General features: G+C 39.3%; 1 pseudogene; it reads left to right on the top strand.

Moving 5' to 3' along the window:
* Positions 11,704-13,010, top strand: SDHDP3 (succinate dehydrogenase complex subunit D pseudogene 3; annotated as a pseudogene).

A 13,753-nucleotide genomic window follows, 5' to 3' on the forward strand; every position in this document is an offset into this window, starting at 1 on the left:
ACATTCAAAGGATGTGAAGACTAAATAGAAAAGACATTGGAGAATTCCAGCATAGTGTACAGGTTACTGATTTGGGAGACTAGGAGATGGCAGTGCCATTCACCAAGTAAAGCAACAGAGGAGAAGGAGGATTTGGGGAAAAAAATGATAGGCTCAGACTTGCACAGGCTAAACGTGAAACAAACATGTAGGGATGAGAAGTAGGATGTTGGACATACCAACTAGAGCTCAGAAGACTGGCCTACGCTGGACATACATACTTGGAAAAATGGGTTTTGTCATTTTGTGCTCAGCACATGAATCGTCTTCATATTAGGGGAAAATAAAAGATGAGTAAAGGCAGGGCCCCTTCCTCCCTTGAGAGAAATCAACAGGGGATCAGATTCCCTGTCCCAACTCATTAGCAGGCAGGGCATAATCATGTAACCTGGACTTGACCAATCAGATGCCTCCATCAGAATTTTCATATATTGAGAGAACGAAACACAGAGCCAAAGGGCAGTCTGATTATTCTGGGTGGATATGGCCAAATTGAGAGCCCTGTGTTTCTGGGGCGATGGCAGCAGCAATAATGTTCTCCCTTCTATAGTTCCCAATAGGTCAAACTTTAGGGGAGGGACCAAGAATCCATGCTAGTTTACCATCATATAGGAAATACAAGGCAAACTCTTTTTTTTTTTTTAAAAAAAGGATCAACATTCTATTTCCTAACCTGGGAAGTAGGTTCATGACTATTTTAGTTTTTGTTTGTTTTATATTAAGTATTCCTATGCATTTTAAACACCCTCTTGTATGCATATTTCACAATAAAAAATTTAAAACAGAGAAACATGTTTTTTCAATAGAGGTAACAAAGGAGAAATTATGTTCAAGAGTGAAAAATCCTTTTCGCTATCTGGGATATGCTCTCTGGGATTTGTTTTGAAATAAGGGAGAAAAATGAAGAAGACTCATAAAATGTTGATAATTGCTGAGTGACAGATATGGTGGCCTTTTGGGATAGTCTGTCTAAATTTTTTAATGTTTGAAAATTTCCCTAATTTTAAAGTATCTTGAGTAGGCCAGTGTGATAGGGAGTGGAGGATGAATTAGAAGAGGGAAGACACAGAGGCAGAAAGTGTATCCAGGGATCAGGAAGGAAGATTAATTTAGGGAATAATCCAAGGGAACCCAATGCCTCACACATTAAATATGACCCATATTAGTTGATTGACCTTAATTCAGAAAACTGGCAACTGACTGGAAACAGGACTAAACTTTGTTTAATCAGAAAACTAAAGCCTTGGAAATATCTGAAGATTTGAGTCACCAATAGCCCCCAGATTCTTTCTTTTCTGGTAATTCAGATGCCTCAGATCTCAGATTCCCCACTCACCTGTATGCCACTAACAGCTCACATTTTGCTTTGGTAAACTATGAACATTTTCTTCTCCTTGGTAGCAATTATCATTCTTGATATTAGTAATTACACTTTTCTGCTCCTAAGGCTGAGAAAAGCATTTCCCCCAAGTAAATTCCCAGTCTTGTCATTAATCTTGGATGGCCAGGATTTTAAGGTGCCACTTTATTACCTTGCTCCTCAAGCTTTACAGAACCATCTCCACCCCCACTCCTACCCACATCCCTAAGAAGAGGAACATGGAATATGTTTCCAAAGGGCTGTCTGGAGAGGATTTGAGTGACACTATCCTGGGCCACTAAAAAGAGCCAGCTCCCAAGGAGGGAATGAAGTCTCTGCTTTTCCAGGGTTTCCTTCCCTTCTATTCAGTCTGAAAAGTCTGGGACACACTGCATTATACAGCTTTATTCACCATTTTATCCCAGCATCCTATCGGGAATTTGATCAAAAAAGAATCCCAGAATATAAACCAGCCACACCTGCAAATTTTATTACAAGCTTGTTGTTTGTTTGTTTGATTCAGATGGGGGAAGAATGGTGGAAAATTAAGAGCTACGGGAAGATTGTCCTCACAGCTCAGCTCCTCTGCTGTGGGCTTCTTTCCAGTTGGTGCAACAGGAGATCTGGGGCCTGTGTTTGCTTTTCTTGGCATTCACAGAGGTGGTGTCTGTAGCTGAAGACACTGGGGTTGTTGCCAGAAGCCCTGCTGGAGCTGGGACTGTGTGCGTCCAGGTTCCAAGATCTCATCTGCTCACAGCGATGGGGAACATTTTGATCTTGGCAAAAGCTCTCATGCCGGCACTCCATGTCCACTCGATTCTTTTCCCTACTTTTCTGACCCCAAGCAGAGAGCAGAGTGACCTCTGGACACATGCAGCTGGGCAGCACCACTGTCTCCGGAATTCCTCATATCTCCCTGGGGAACTTGAAACAGTGGACGCAAACATGAATACAGACTGCTAGTGACCTGGTAGCACGTTCACAACAGGCCCCGTGAGAAGAGAAGAGCAAGCCTTCCTTCCCCAGTGGCTGGTTCCACTGTCATGCCTGCTTCAGACACCAGGGAAGTAAATGTTTCAGCCATGTAAAATTAGCACAGTCTGAACACAGTTAGAAAACCAAATGCATTCTCTGTAAGTGGGAGATGTGACCCCCTTCTTTAGGCTGTTGCTAATCATTAACATCAGGGTGGGTGTTCTCGAACAGTGCCTGAGCCAGGCCCCAGCTATCATTTCGAGCCCTTTGGAACTGCGGATGTGTCGGCCTATAAAGTCTTCCAAAACTCAGGTCCTCATTTATCACTCCACCCTTGACCTCCTATTTGTGAGACCCTCCAGCCCATTTCCCGCAACTGTTACCTCATTCCTCCACATCCCAGCAGCACCTCACACGCTCTCACATCCATGCACTTCAGTTCCACCCTCCCCTATATGCAAAGGAAGCAATCAGCTCCTCCTCCACTTCTGAACCGGTGTTTCTCAACTTCCAATCCACAGACAGGAGAGGCAAAATCAAACCACCATACCACAGGTTCTCTGTTATAAGTGAGAGCTAAAGAATGGGTACACATGGACATATAGAGAGAAATAATAGACACAGGGGACTTCTAAAGCGGGGAGGGTGGCAGGGAGATGAGGTTTGAAAAATTGCCTATTGGGTACACTGTTTACTAATTCAGGTGAATGGCACACTAGAAGCTCAGACTTCATTCACCATTACACAACATATCCATGTAACAAATCTGCCTATGTACCTCTCAAAACTATACCGATTTTAAAAGTTTTTAAACCAAACTACTATAATAAATTCATTCCCCCACCCATTTCCTCCACCACACAACAGCATTTCCAGCTCTTCTTTCCCAAACTTTTAAACTTTATCTGGATACAAAATAGAGAGTTTAGAGGTTTTGGTTAATGATGTGGTTTTAGTTGAGAAACAGTCTTCATTTATGTGATATAATTTTTAAAGTAATATTTATTGAGCTTTAATATGTACTAGGTACCTGATGAAGTATTATCCTATTCAATCTTTACAACCACCTTTCTGCAGATAAAGAAATCGTCCAGAGAGATTAATTTGCCAAAGGTGATACAACTATAAAATGGTAGAGCTAGAATTTAAACTTAAGGCAAATTAAGTTCTGAAAACAATCCGGAGCCTAGAGTCCATGCTTTTAATCACACTATATATCATTTCCCAATCCCTAACAGCACCCCTCTTTTAAAATTTCTTGCCCTCTTTTTGTACTGCCCCTTGCCAAGATCATGATTCCCTACCAACTTCAAGGAAAGTTTGCCATATTACTCCATGATGCTAACCAAAACCTACCCCTCCATCTTTTTCTCTGCTATCACCCTAGGGCTCTACCCAGGTTAATTACTCTGAGAACTCTTTAATACCCTTGTATCAGTCAGGATGCTTTTGGCTACAAGAATCTAAACTCCCAACTTAGGCTAACTTCACTGATAAGGACATTTAGTTTACATAACAGGAATTGTTAAGGATAAATCAGAATTCGTGGCTACATGACTGAGCAGCTCCACAATGCCATCAACAATTCAAGGATCAAGGTTGTTGCTGTCTCCCTGCTCTGTAAACTTAATCCTACAGCTGGTTCCCCTCAAGAGTTGAGGGCGGCTGCCAGAAGCAACTTGCTCCACGTTCTTCCTTGCTATTGTGCCTGAGTGGTAAGGGGTCGGGGGGACTCTCCTCCAACTATGTCTGATTGGACCATATGCCCAACCCTGCCAGTAACAGGGGAATGTACAACATGATGGATTTAATCCCAAATTCCTGAGCAGTTATCTGACAGCCTGTAGCTGCCAGCTCCTTCAGAGACTGCCTCAGCAAAGAGCATAAACTTTTCATGTAGCATCAAGCCAATGATTAAGCAAGATGGTGGTTCTAGGGCCCAGCCATTTCCACCCAGTGCAAGACTCCTCTAGTTGGCATTCATTGCCCTGGAGCTCCTAACTGGAAAGGCAAAGAGTTTGTCAGATCTGCCTCATGGTCTGTTGGCTCTTCCTGTGCAATCCTTCTTCCTCCTCTTTTCCTTTCACTGGTGTTACTCCTTAATAAGCCTTTGGGACTCCATCTCAGTACCCCCTCCCCAGAGAACCCAACCTACAGCAGTACCCTGCTAGCTAACTATGACTCCATCTTCACCTTCTGTCTCTATTCCACCCACATATCTTATACCTCCAGAAAATCTGTCCTACACCATCTACATTCCACCCCTCCTTCTAAAACTGCTTTTCATCTGCCTTAGGACCTTCAGTCCTTTAACCCATCCCCATTCTTAGTCCACCAGCCACCATCTATGTTCCCTTGCATCATGCCTTTGCCTGGACTGAATCTTTACCACAACTTTGCTATCACCTAGTTTCTCCCCTCCCAACCCTTAGACCAATCCCCAGCCCTGGGAAAGCTATAGTAAAGCATCCTTTCTCCCCTCCTAGGTCTACTGAAAGAAAACCTGAAAACTGGGTTTAATGGCTTAATGAAAAATCCATGCGATCTAACTTTAATTGGACCCTCAGGATGGCTAAGTAATCATTTTACTAATCTCTGTAGACTTCCACTGCATTGATGCCAAATGTTTTCTCTCTTCACTTCCTAATGTCCCTTCCTCCTAATTTCTCCTCATACTCTGAGGAGGGATTGTTAACCTCCTTCTTTTTCTGTTGATCAAGTATGTAGTCTATTGCCTTTACTTATCCAGATCCATCACACCTCTCTTTCCCTTGGAGAAATGGCCAGCCATGGGCATGTGAATCAAGCCAGACCAACAAAACCCTTGTCAAAACTATTAAGGGAGAAAACTTTTGCTTGTTTGTTTTGGAGATTGCTAATCTGTAAAGAAAAAAGTCTGGTGCTATAAGCCCCCATATTGTTCCAGAAGGGAAGAGCCTTTCTAAGAAAAAGCCAGAGGAAAGCAGATCAGGCCCTGATGGCATCCTACTGCTTCCAGATCCACCTGTCTTAAAGCTGTCACCCCATGAGACTTCAATTACGTGTTCCAACAAATTCTCTTTATGTGTCTGTACTTTCAGCCAAGGGTTGATATATAAACTCCTTTCAGTCTCCAAATTTGTCTCTATCTTTACCTATTCTGACACATTCTCACAGGCCTCTGACAGAGGTATTGTTCTTGTTTGTATAGTTTTCCTCCTGTGCATTTTTCTTTTGGACTTTGTTTGATCACATTGTTTTCTCCAATGTCTTCTTCCTCATTGCCCGTATTCACGATTGGTATTGGCTGAATAAATGTTACCAAGCTATTTCAAAAGTGGGTCTTTAATGAAACTAGACAGAACACACAGAACACATTTCTGAAGGTGTAAGAATGTGGCTCTTTGACAGTGACTTTATTTGCAGGTGAGCGAGGTGGAGTCATTCCAGAGGACGGAAGGAGAACTTTGACACAATTTCTATCCTTATATGTTCCTCAAAAGGATGCTAAGATCTCACCTCCTCACTCACTTCACCTCCATTTGGCAGTCAGTACGCCCTTGAAGAATTGCCTTGTGGCACACAAAGGTGAGAAGAATATGTGCTGTACTGTTACGTGTAAGAGATTCTGCAGAGTTGAGGGGACTTAGGAGGAGGGAGCAGACTGGTGCATATCAGCAGCCCTTAGCTGCCCTCAGAAACTTTTCAATGCCCAGTAGGGTTTGGTTGTTGTTGTTTTCATTTTCTTTTTCATTTAATTTTAAGTAGATAATATATTTACATGATTTAAAATTCAAATCTATATAAAAAGATATACAGAGAAATTTCAGTCCCCGGCCCCTCCACATTTTCCATCAAGTTTTCTGAAGTTTTCAGTTTATGCCTCTGTGTTAGTTTCTATTGCTGCATAACAAATTGTAACAAACTTAGTGGCTTTAAACATATTTATTATCTCATAGTTGCTGAAGGTCAGAAGTCTGAGCAGGATGTTCATAGGTTTTCTGTTCAAGTCCTCACAAAGCCAAAATCAAGATATCAGCCAGGACTGCAGTCTTTCTAGAGCTCAGGGTCTTCTTCCAGGCTATTCAGTTCCCTATAGCTGTAGGATTGAGGTCCTTGTTTCCTTGCTGGCTGTTGACTTGGAGTTGCCCTTAGGTCTGAGATGCCATCCTCAGCCTCTAGCCACATGGTCCCCTTCACATGCAGTTAACAACATGTCTGTTTTCTTTCCTCTAGGCCGATGAAGAGCATCATATTGACTGGTCCCATGTAAACTCAAGGAGAAGGGGATGATACAAGGCATATATATAGTTGGTGGACAGAATATTGGGAGTCATCCTAAAATTCTGCCTACCACAGCTTCCATTGTTGTTCAGCTTATTAAAAATAAAAGCAAAGCAAAAATACACACACACACATACATGCACATTTCCCCATTAAACAACAGTGGCATATAATATATACCTTACTCCATATTGTTTTTTGCACTTAATAGTATATCTGGAGTCCATTTTTTAGCAGTATATATCATCTTCATTTTTTTGTAGTAGTTCAGTTCTTTATTAAAGTATACTATATTTATTCAACCATATTTATATACCATATGCCATAAGATAACACCATATTTATTCAAATATTTTCTAACTCTTAGTCATTTTGATTTTTTCCTATATTCTCTTTGCTATTACAGATAGTGCTGTAATGAATAGTTTGCATAGCCTTTTTTTTCCCCGGGTCAAAGAAATGTGCTAGATGTTGTCAAATTCCCCTATATCAAGTTGACACCATTTTGCTTTCCCTCCTTCAAGATACCTGGTACGGTTTTTATTTGTGATTTTCCTTTTGTGAGTGAGGTTAAGCAACTTAAAGGGGGAATTTTTATTCATTTTTCTGTGAACTGTCTGTTCATGTTCTTTGCTATTCTTCTATTGGGTTGTTGGGCTTCTCACAGTTTCTAGAGGCTCTCAAGTAGTTTAATCATTTTCCTGTGATATGGCAAGTATTTTTCCCAGTTTGTCACTGTCTTTTGACTTATGTTGTTTTGCTATGGAAGAAACTTTCTTATATGTTGTTGAATGTGTCAGTCTTTCATTTCAGGGCTTCTGAATTTTGAATCAGAGACAGAAAGGCTTTGCCCAATCAATAAACATAATCCAACATATAAACAGAACCAAAGACAAAAACCACAAGGTTATCTCAATAGATGCAGAAAAGGCCTTCGACAAAATTCAACAGCCCTTCATGCTAAAACCTCTCAATAAATTAGGTATTGATGGGACATATCTCAAAATAATAAGAGCTATTTATGACAAACCCACAGCCAATATCATACTGAATGGGCAAAAACTGGAAGCATACCCTTTGAAAACTGGCACAAGACAGGGATGCCCTCTCTCACCACTCCTATTCAACATAGTGTTGGAAGTTCTGGCCAGGGCAATCAGGCAGGAGAAAGAAATAAAGGGTATTCAATTAGGAAAAGAGGAACACAAATTGTCCCTGTTTGCAGATGACATGATTGTATATTTAGAAAAACCCCATTGCCTCAGCCCAAAATCTCCTTAAGCTAATAAGCAACTTCAGCAAAGTCTCAGGATACAAAATCAATGTGCAAAAATCACAAGCATTCTTATACACCAATAACAGACAAACAGAGAGCCAAATCATGAGTGAAGTCCCATTCACAATTGCTTCAAAGAGAATAAAATACCTAGGAATCCAACTTACAAGGGATGTGAAGGGCCGCTTCAAGGAGAACTACAAACCACTGCTCAATGAAATAAAAGAGGATACAAACAAATGGAAGAACATTGCATGCTCATGGATAGGAAGAATCAATATCGTGAAAATGGCCATACTGCCCAAGGTAATTTATAGATTTAATGCCATCCCCATCAAGCTACCAATGACTTTCTTCACAGAATTGGAAAAAACTATTTTAAAGTTCATATGGAACCAAAAAAGAGCCCGCATTGCCAAGTCAATCCTAAGCCAAAAGAACAAAGCTGGAGGCATCACTCTACCTGACTTCAAACTAAACTACAAGGCTACAGTAAACAAAACAGCATGGTACTTGTACCAAAACAGAGATATAGACCAATGGAACAGAACAGAGCCCTCAGAAATAATACCACACATCTACAACCATCTGATCTTTGACAAACCTGACAAAAACAAGAAATGGGGAAAGGATTCCCTATTTAATAAATGGTGCTGGGAAAACTGGCTAGCCATATGTAGAAGCTGAAACTGGATCCCTTCCTTACACCTTATACAAAAATTAATTCAAGATGGATTGAAGACTGAAATGTTAGTCCTAAAACCATAAAAACCCAAGAAGAAAACCCAGGCAATACCATTCAGGACATAGGCATGGGCAAGGACTTCATGTCTAAAACACCAAAAGCAATGGCAACAAAAGACAAAATTGACAAATGGGATCTAATTAAACTAAAGAGCTTCTGCACAGCAAAAGAAACTACCATCAGAGTGAACAGGCAACCTACAGAATGGGAGAAAAATTTTGCAATCTACTCATCTGACAAAGGGCTAATATCAAGAATCTACAAAGAACTCAAACAAGTTTACAAGAAAAAAACAAACAACCCCACCAAAAAGTGGGTGAAGGATATGAACAGACACTTTTCAAAAGAAGACATTTATGCAGCCAACAGATACATGAAAAAATGCTCATCATCACTGGCCATCAGAGAAATGCAAATCAAAACCACAATGAGATACCATCTCACACCAGTTAGAATGGCGATCATTAAAAAGTCAGGAAACAACAGGTGCTGGAGAGGATGTGGAGAAATAGGAACACTTTTACACTGTTGGTGGGACGGTAAACTAGTTCAACCATTGTGGAAGACAGTGTGGCAATTCCTCAAGGATCTAGAACTAGAAATCCCATTTGACCCAGCCATCCCATTACTGGGTATATACCCAAAGGATTATAAATCATGCTGCTATAAAGACACATGCACACATATGTTTACTGCGGCACTATTCACAATAGCAAAGACTTGGAACCAACCCAAATGTCCATCAATGATAGACTGGATTAAGAAAATGTGGCATATATACACCATGGAATACTATGCAGCCATAAAAAAGGATGAGTTCATGTCCTTTGCAGGGACTCGAATGAAGTTGGAAACCATCATTCTCAGCAAACTATCGCAGGGACAAAAAACCAAATACCGCATTTCTCACTCATAGGTGGGAATTGAACAACGAGAACACTTGGACACAGGAAGAGGAACATCACACACCGGGGCCTGTCGTGGGGTTGAGGGGAGGAGGGAGGGATAGCATCAGGAGATATACCTAATGTAAATGACGAATTAATGGGTGCAGCACACCAACATGGCACATGTATACATATGTAACAAACCGGCACGTTGTGCACATGTACCCTAGAACTTGAAGTATAATAAAATAATAATAATAATAAAATTAAAAAAAGAAAGGCTTTGCCCACTTAATGTTTATAAAGGAACCCACTATGTTTTTTTCTTGTACTGCATAGTTTTATTTTTTATACTTAAATATCTAATCTACTTGAAGTTTGTTCTATTATCTTGTTTAAGGCATTAATCCAATGTAATCTTTTTCAAATGTCTTCCCAATCAATTGTTCAATCATCAGGAAAACTGAGGAACAAAAGTCACCAGAAACCAACATCAAAGAAAAAAAAGCTATTCTTCAGTAGTTTAAGGAGGTGCAGACTTTCTCAAGACTGTGATAAAGGGAAGTAACACTGCTTAATTATCTGACCAGGTATGCAATGCCAAGTGCCAGACAATTTTATTGAGCTGAACTTGAAGAACATTTAAACCATGTAAACTACAGAGAGAATATGGAGAAAAACCACTGATTTCAGAGCAAGAACATGTATACTTTCTATGCTTGAGTTGATAAAGTTTCCCCTCATCCACAAATGCTACAAAACTAAAATCTTAGTCTTCTCTTATTTTTTTCTTTTCAAGTTCAAACCTTTATTAATGTTCTTAAGGTACTCTAATTTTTTAAAAAATTTACAAACAGTAAAATTCACTCTTTAGGGTATACAGTTTATAAGCTTCAAAAATGCATAGAATTATGTAACCATTTCCATAATCAAGAAACAGAACAGTCTCATAATCTCCAAAAAATTCTCTCAAGCTACTCCTCCCCAAACCAGAATACCCAGAAAACCTGGCAACCATTGATCTGTTCTTCATCCCTACAGTTTTTCCTTTTCTAAACATTATATGTCATATAAATGGAATCCTACTGCTACAGTATGAATGTTTGTGTCCTCCCAAAATTCATATGTTGAAACCTAATCCCCAATGTTGTAGTATTAAGAGATGGGGACTTAAGGGAGGTGACTAAGTCATGACAGTGGAGCCCTTGTGAATGAGATTAGTGTCCTTATAAAAAAGGCCTAAGAGAGATTGTTTGCCCCTTCCATTGTATGAAGACATATAGAAGGTGCCATCTATGAGGAACAGGCTCTTACCAGACACAAAATCTGTTGACACCTTGATCTTGGACTTCCCAGCCTCCAGAACTGTAAGCAATAAATTTCTGTTGTTTATAAATTACCCAGTTTAAGGTATTACATTATAGCCACCCAAATGGGCCAAGACACCTACTTTATGTAACCTTTTTAGTTTGGCTTCTTTCACTCAGCATAATGCACCTGAGATTCATCCATGTTGTTATGTGTAGAAATAATCTGTTCTTTTTATTGCTAAGCAGTACTCCATGAGATGGATGTACTACCATTTGTACCAAAGGTTATTTGGAATATTTCCAGTTTTCAGTGATTATAAACACTTGCACACAGATTTTCAGCATACAGATCCTGCCTGTATTTTGTTAAATATATACCAAAACATTTCTTTCTTCAGGGAGACGGTGCTATAGTAAATGGTACTGTTTTCTCACTGCTAGTATAGAAGATTTTTTTTCTGTATTCTGTTAACTTGCTAAACTCACTTATTATTTCTAGAAGCTTTTGTAGATGCCTTAAAGTTTTGTATGTAGACAATCATATCATCTGCAAAAGTGATCATTTTATTTGTTCCTTATCTATCCACAGATGCTCTTCGACTTACAGTAGCATTATGTCCCAATAGATCCATTGAAATTGAAAATACTGTAAGACAAAAATGCATTTAATACACCTAACCTACTGAAGATCATAGCTTAGCCTAGCCTACCTTAAATGTGCTCAGAACACTTACATTAGCCTACAGTTGGGCAAAATCATCTAAAACAAAGCCCATTTTACAATAAAGTGTTGAATAGCTCAAGTCATTTGTTAAATACCATACATTATGCCAAAATGGAGATAATGGGACCTTGAGCCCTCAGGAACGAGATGGCGGTTCTCCGGAGGCTGAGTGCCCTTTACGGTGCCCAAGGAGGCCGAGCTCTGTTGCTGCGAACCCCAGTGATCAGACCTGCTCATATCTCAGCATTTCTTCAGGACCGACCTATCCCAGAATGGTGTGGAGTGCAGCACTTACACTTGTCACCGAGCCACCATCCTGGCTCCAAGGCTGCGTCTCTCCACTGGACTAGCGAGAGGGTTGTCAGTGTTTTGCTCCTGGGTCTGCTTCCGGCTGCTTATTTGAATCCTTGCTCTGCGATGGACTATTCCCTGGCTGCAACCCTCACTCTTCCTGGTCACTGGGGCCTTAGACAAGTTGTTACTATGTTCATGGGGATGCCTCGCAGAAAGCTACCAAGGCAGGGCTTTTGGCACTTTCAGCTTTAACCTTTACTGGGCTTTGCTATTTCAACTATCACGATGTGGGCATCTGCAAAGCTGTTGCCATGCTGTGGAAGCTCTGACCTTTTTTACTTCATACTTTGAAGAATTGATGTATGCCTCTTTGCCTCTGCTTTGTCATGCCATTAAGCCCACAATAACGAAGAAATAACAGGTAAGTCCATTGGTGGATAGCCTTCTTCTCTTAATCACAAGATTATTTTCAGAACTTAGTCTTTGAGGAAAACGTTTGAGAGGAGTTACATCTAAGTTGTGAGACTGAGTTCTGTATTCTGGTGAGTTAACGGGGTTGCCTCCCAGCTTCTTATAAGACTCACAGTATAACTAAACATGATATATGAGCTTTTGCCTTTTAATTTATCAATCTCTTAAAGAGAATCCAGCTTTATTACTATTAGTATATGATCAAACTTCCATATTTGCCCTGGGAATAATGGACAAAGGGAAATACTCTTAATTCATGAATAAAAACTTTGCAGAAAATTAGACGGTGTTTAATTTTTGAAAACTTCCCTCTGTAGTCAGTAGATACCACCTACTGATGGCTACATATACTAGGGAAATTTTAAAATTAGGAAATGCTGTTATCTCACATTATAAATTTCTAAATCCTAGGAAGAAATGCTTGGAATACTTCTGAATATAGAGAAGTTCCATTTAAGGGCAAGTTTCCCCTTGTATACATATCAAAATATTACCAATTGTAAACTGAGATTTAATTCTCAAATGTGTTCTACTTGTTCTAAAACAATCTGTCCACAGATATAAAACTATAAGTAATAAATTGTTATTTTCGCACAATGGGAATCTCTAATGTGAAAATGTATTCTATGAAAATAATTTGTTTAAATAAAGCGTTGTATAATAAAAAATGGAGATAATGGGTTTCATACCATTGTAAAGTAGAAAAATTATAGATCAAACCACCATAAATCAGGGATATCTGTATATGCCTTCTATTTATTTTTCTTGCCTTATTGCATTGAAAAAAAACCTTCCCGTATGACACTGAATAGGAGTAATGAGAGTGGATATCTTTGTCTTGTTCCCAATATTAGGCAAACATTCTTTCACCATGAAGTGGATGTTAACTGCAGATTTTCTTGAAGATGCCTTTTGTTAGGTTAAGGAATTACCATCTGTTCTTTGGTGACTGAGAGTTTTCATCATGAATGGATGTTGAATTTTATCCAATGATTCATCTTCATCTATTTATTTGATCATACGGTTTTTCTTCTTTAAGTTGTTTATATGATGAATCACATTGACTTTTGAATGTTGAATCTACCTTGCATTCATAATATAACCTGGTCATGTTATATTACCCTAATTATGTATTGCTGGATTAGATATTGCTTATATTTTATTGATGATCTTGCATCTGTGTTCATGAGGAATGTTGATCTATAGGTTTCTTTACTCATAATGTCTCCGTCTGGTTTTATAATAGGGTAATATTGGCCTCATAGAATAAGTTGGAAAGAATGTCATGCTCTTCTATTTTCTAGAAGAGATTGTAAAGAATTGTTTTCTTTCTTAAATGTTTGGTAGAATTCACCAGTGAAACAATCTGGGCCTAAAATATTTTCTTTTCTTTTTTTTTTTTTTTTTCC

This window comes from Homo sapiens, chromosome 3 (assembly GCF_000001405.40).
Source record: "Homo sapiens chromosome 3, GRCh38.p14 Primary Assembly".
Lineage (NCBI taxonomy): Eukaryota > Metazoa > Chordata > Mammalia > Primates > Hominidae > Homo > Homo sapiens.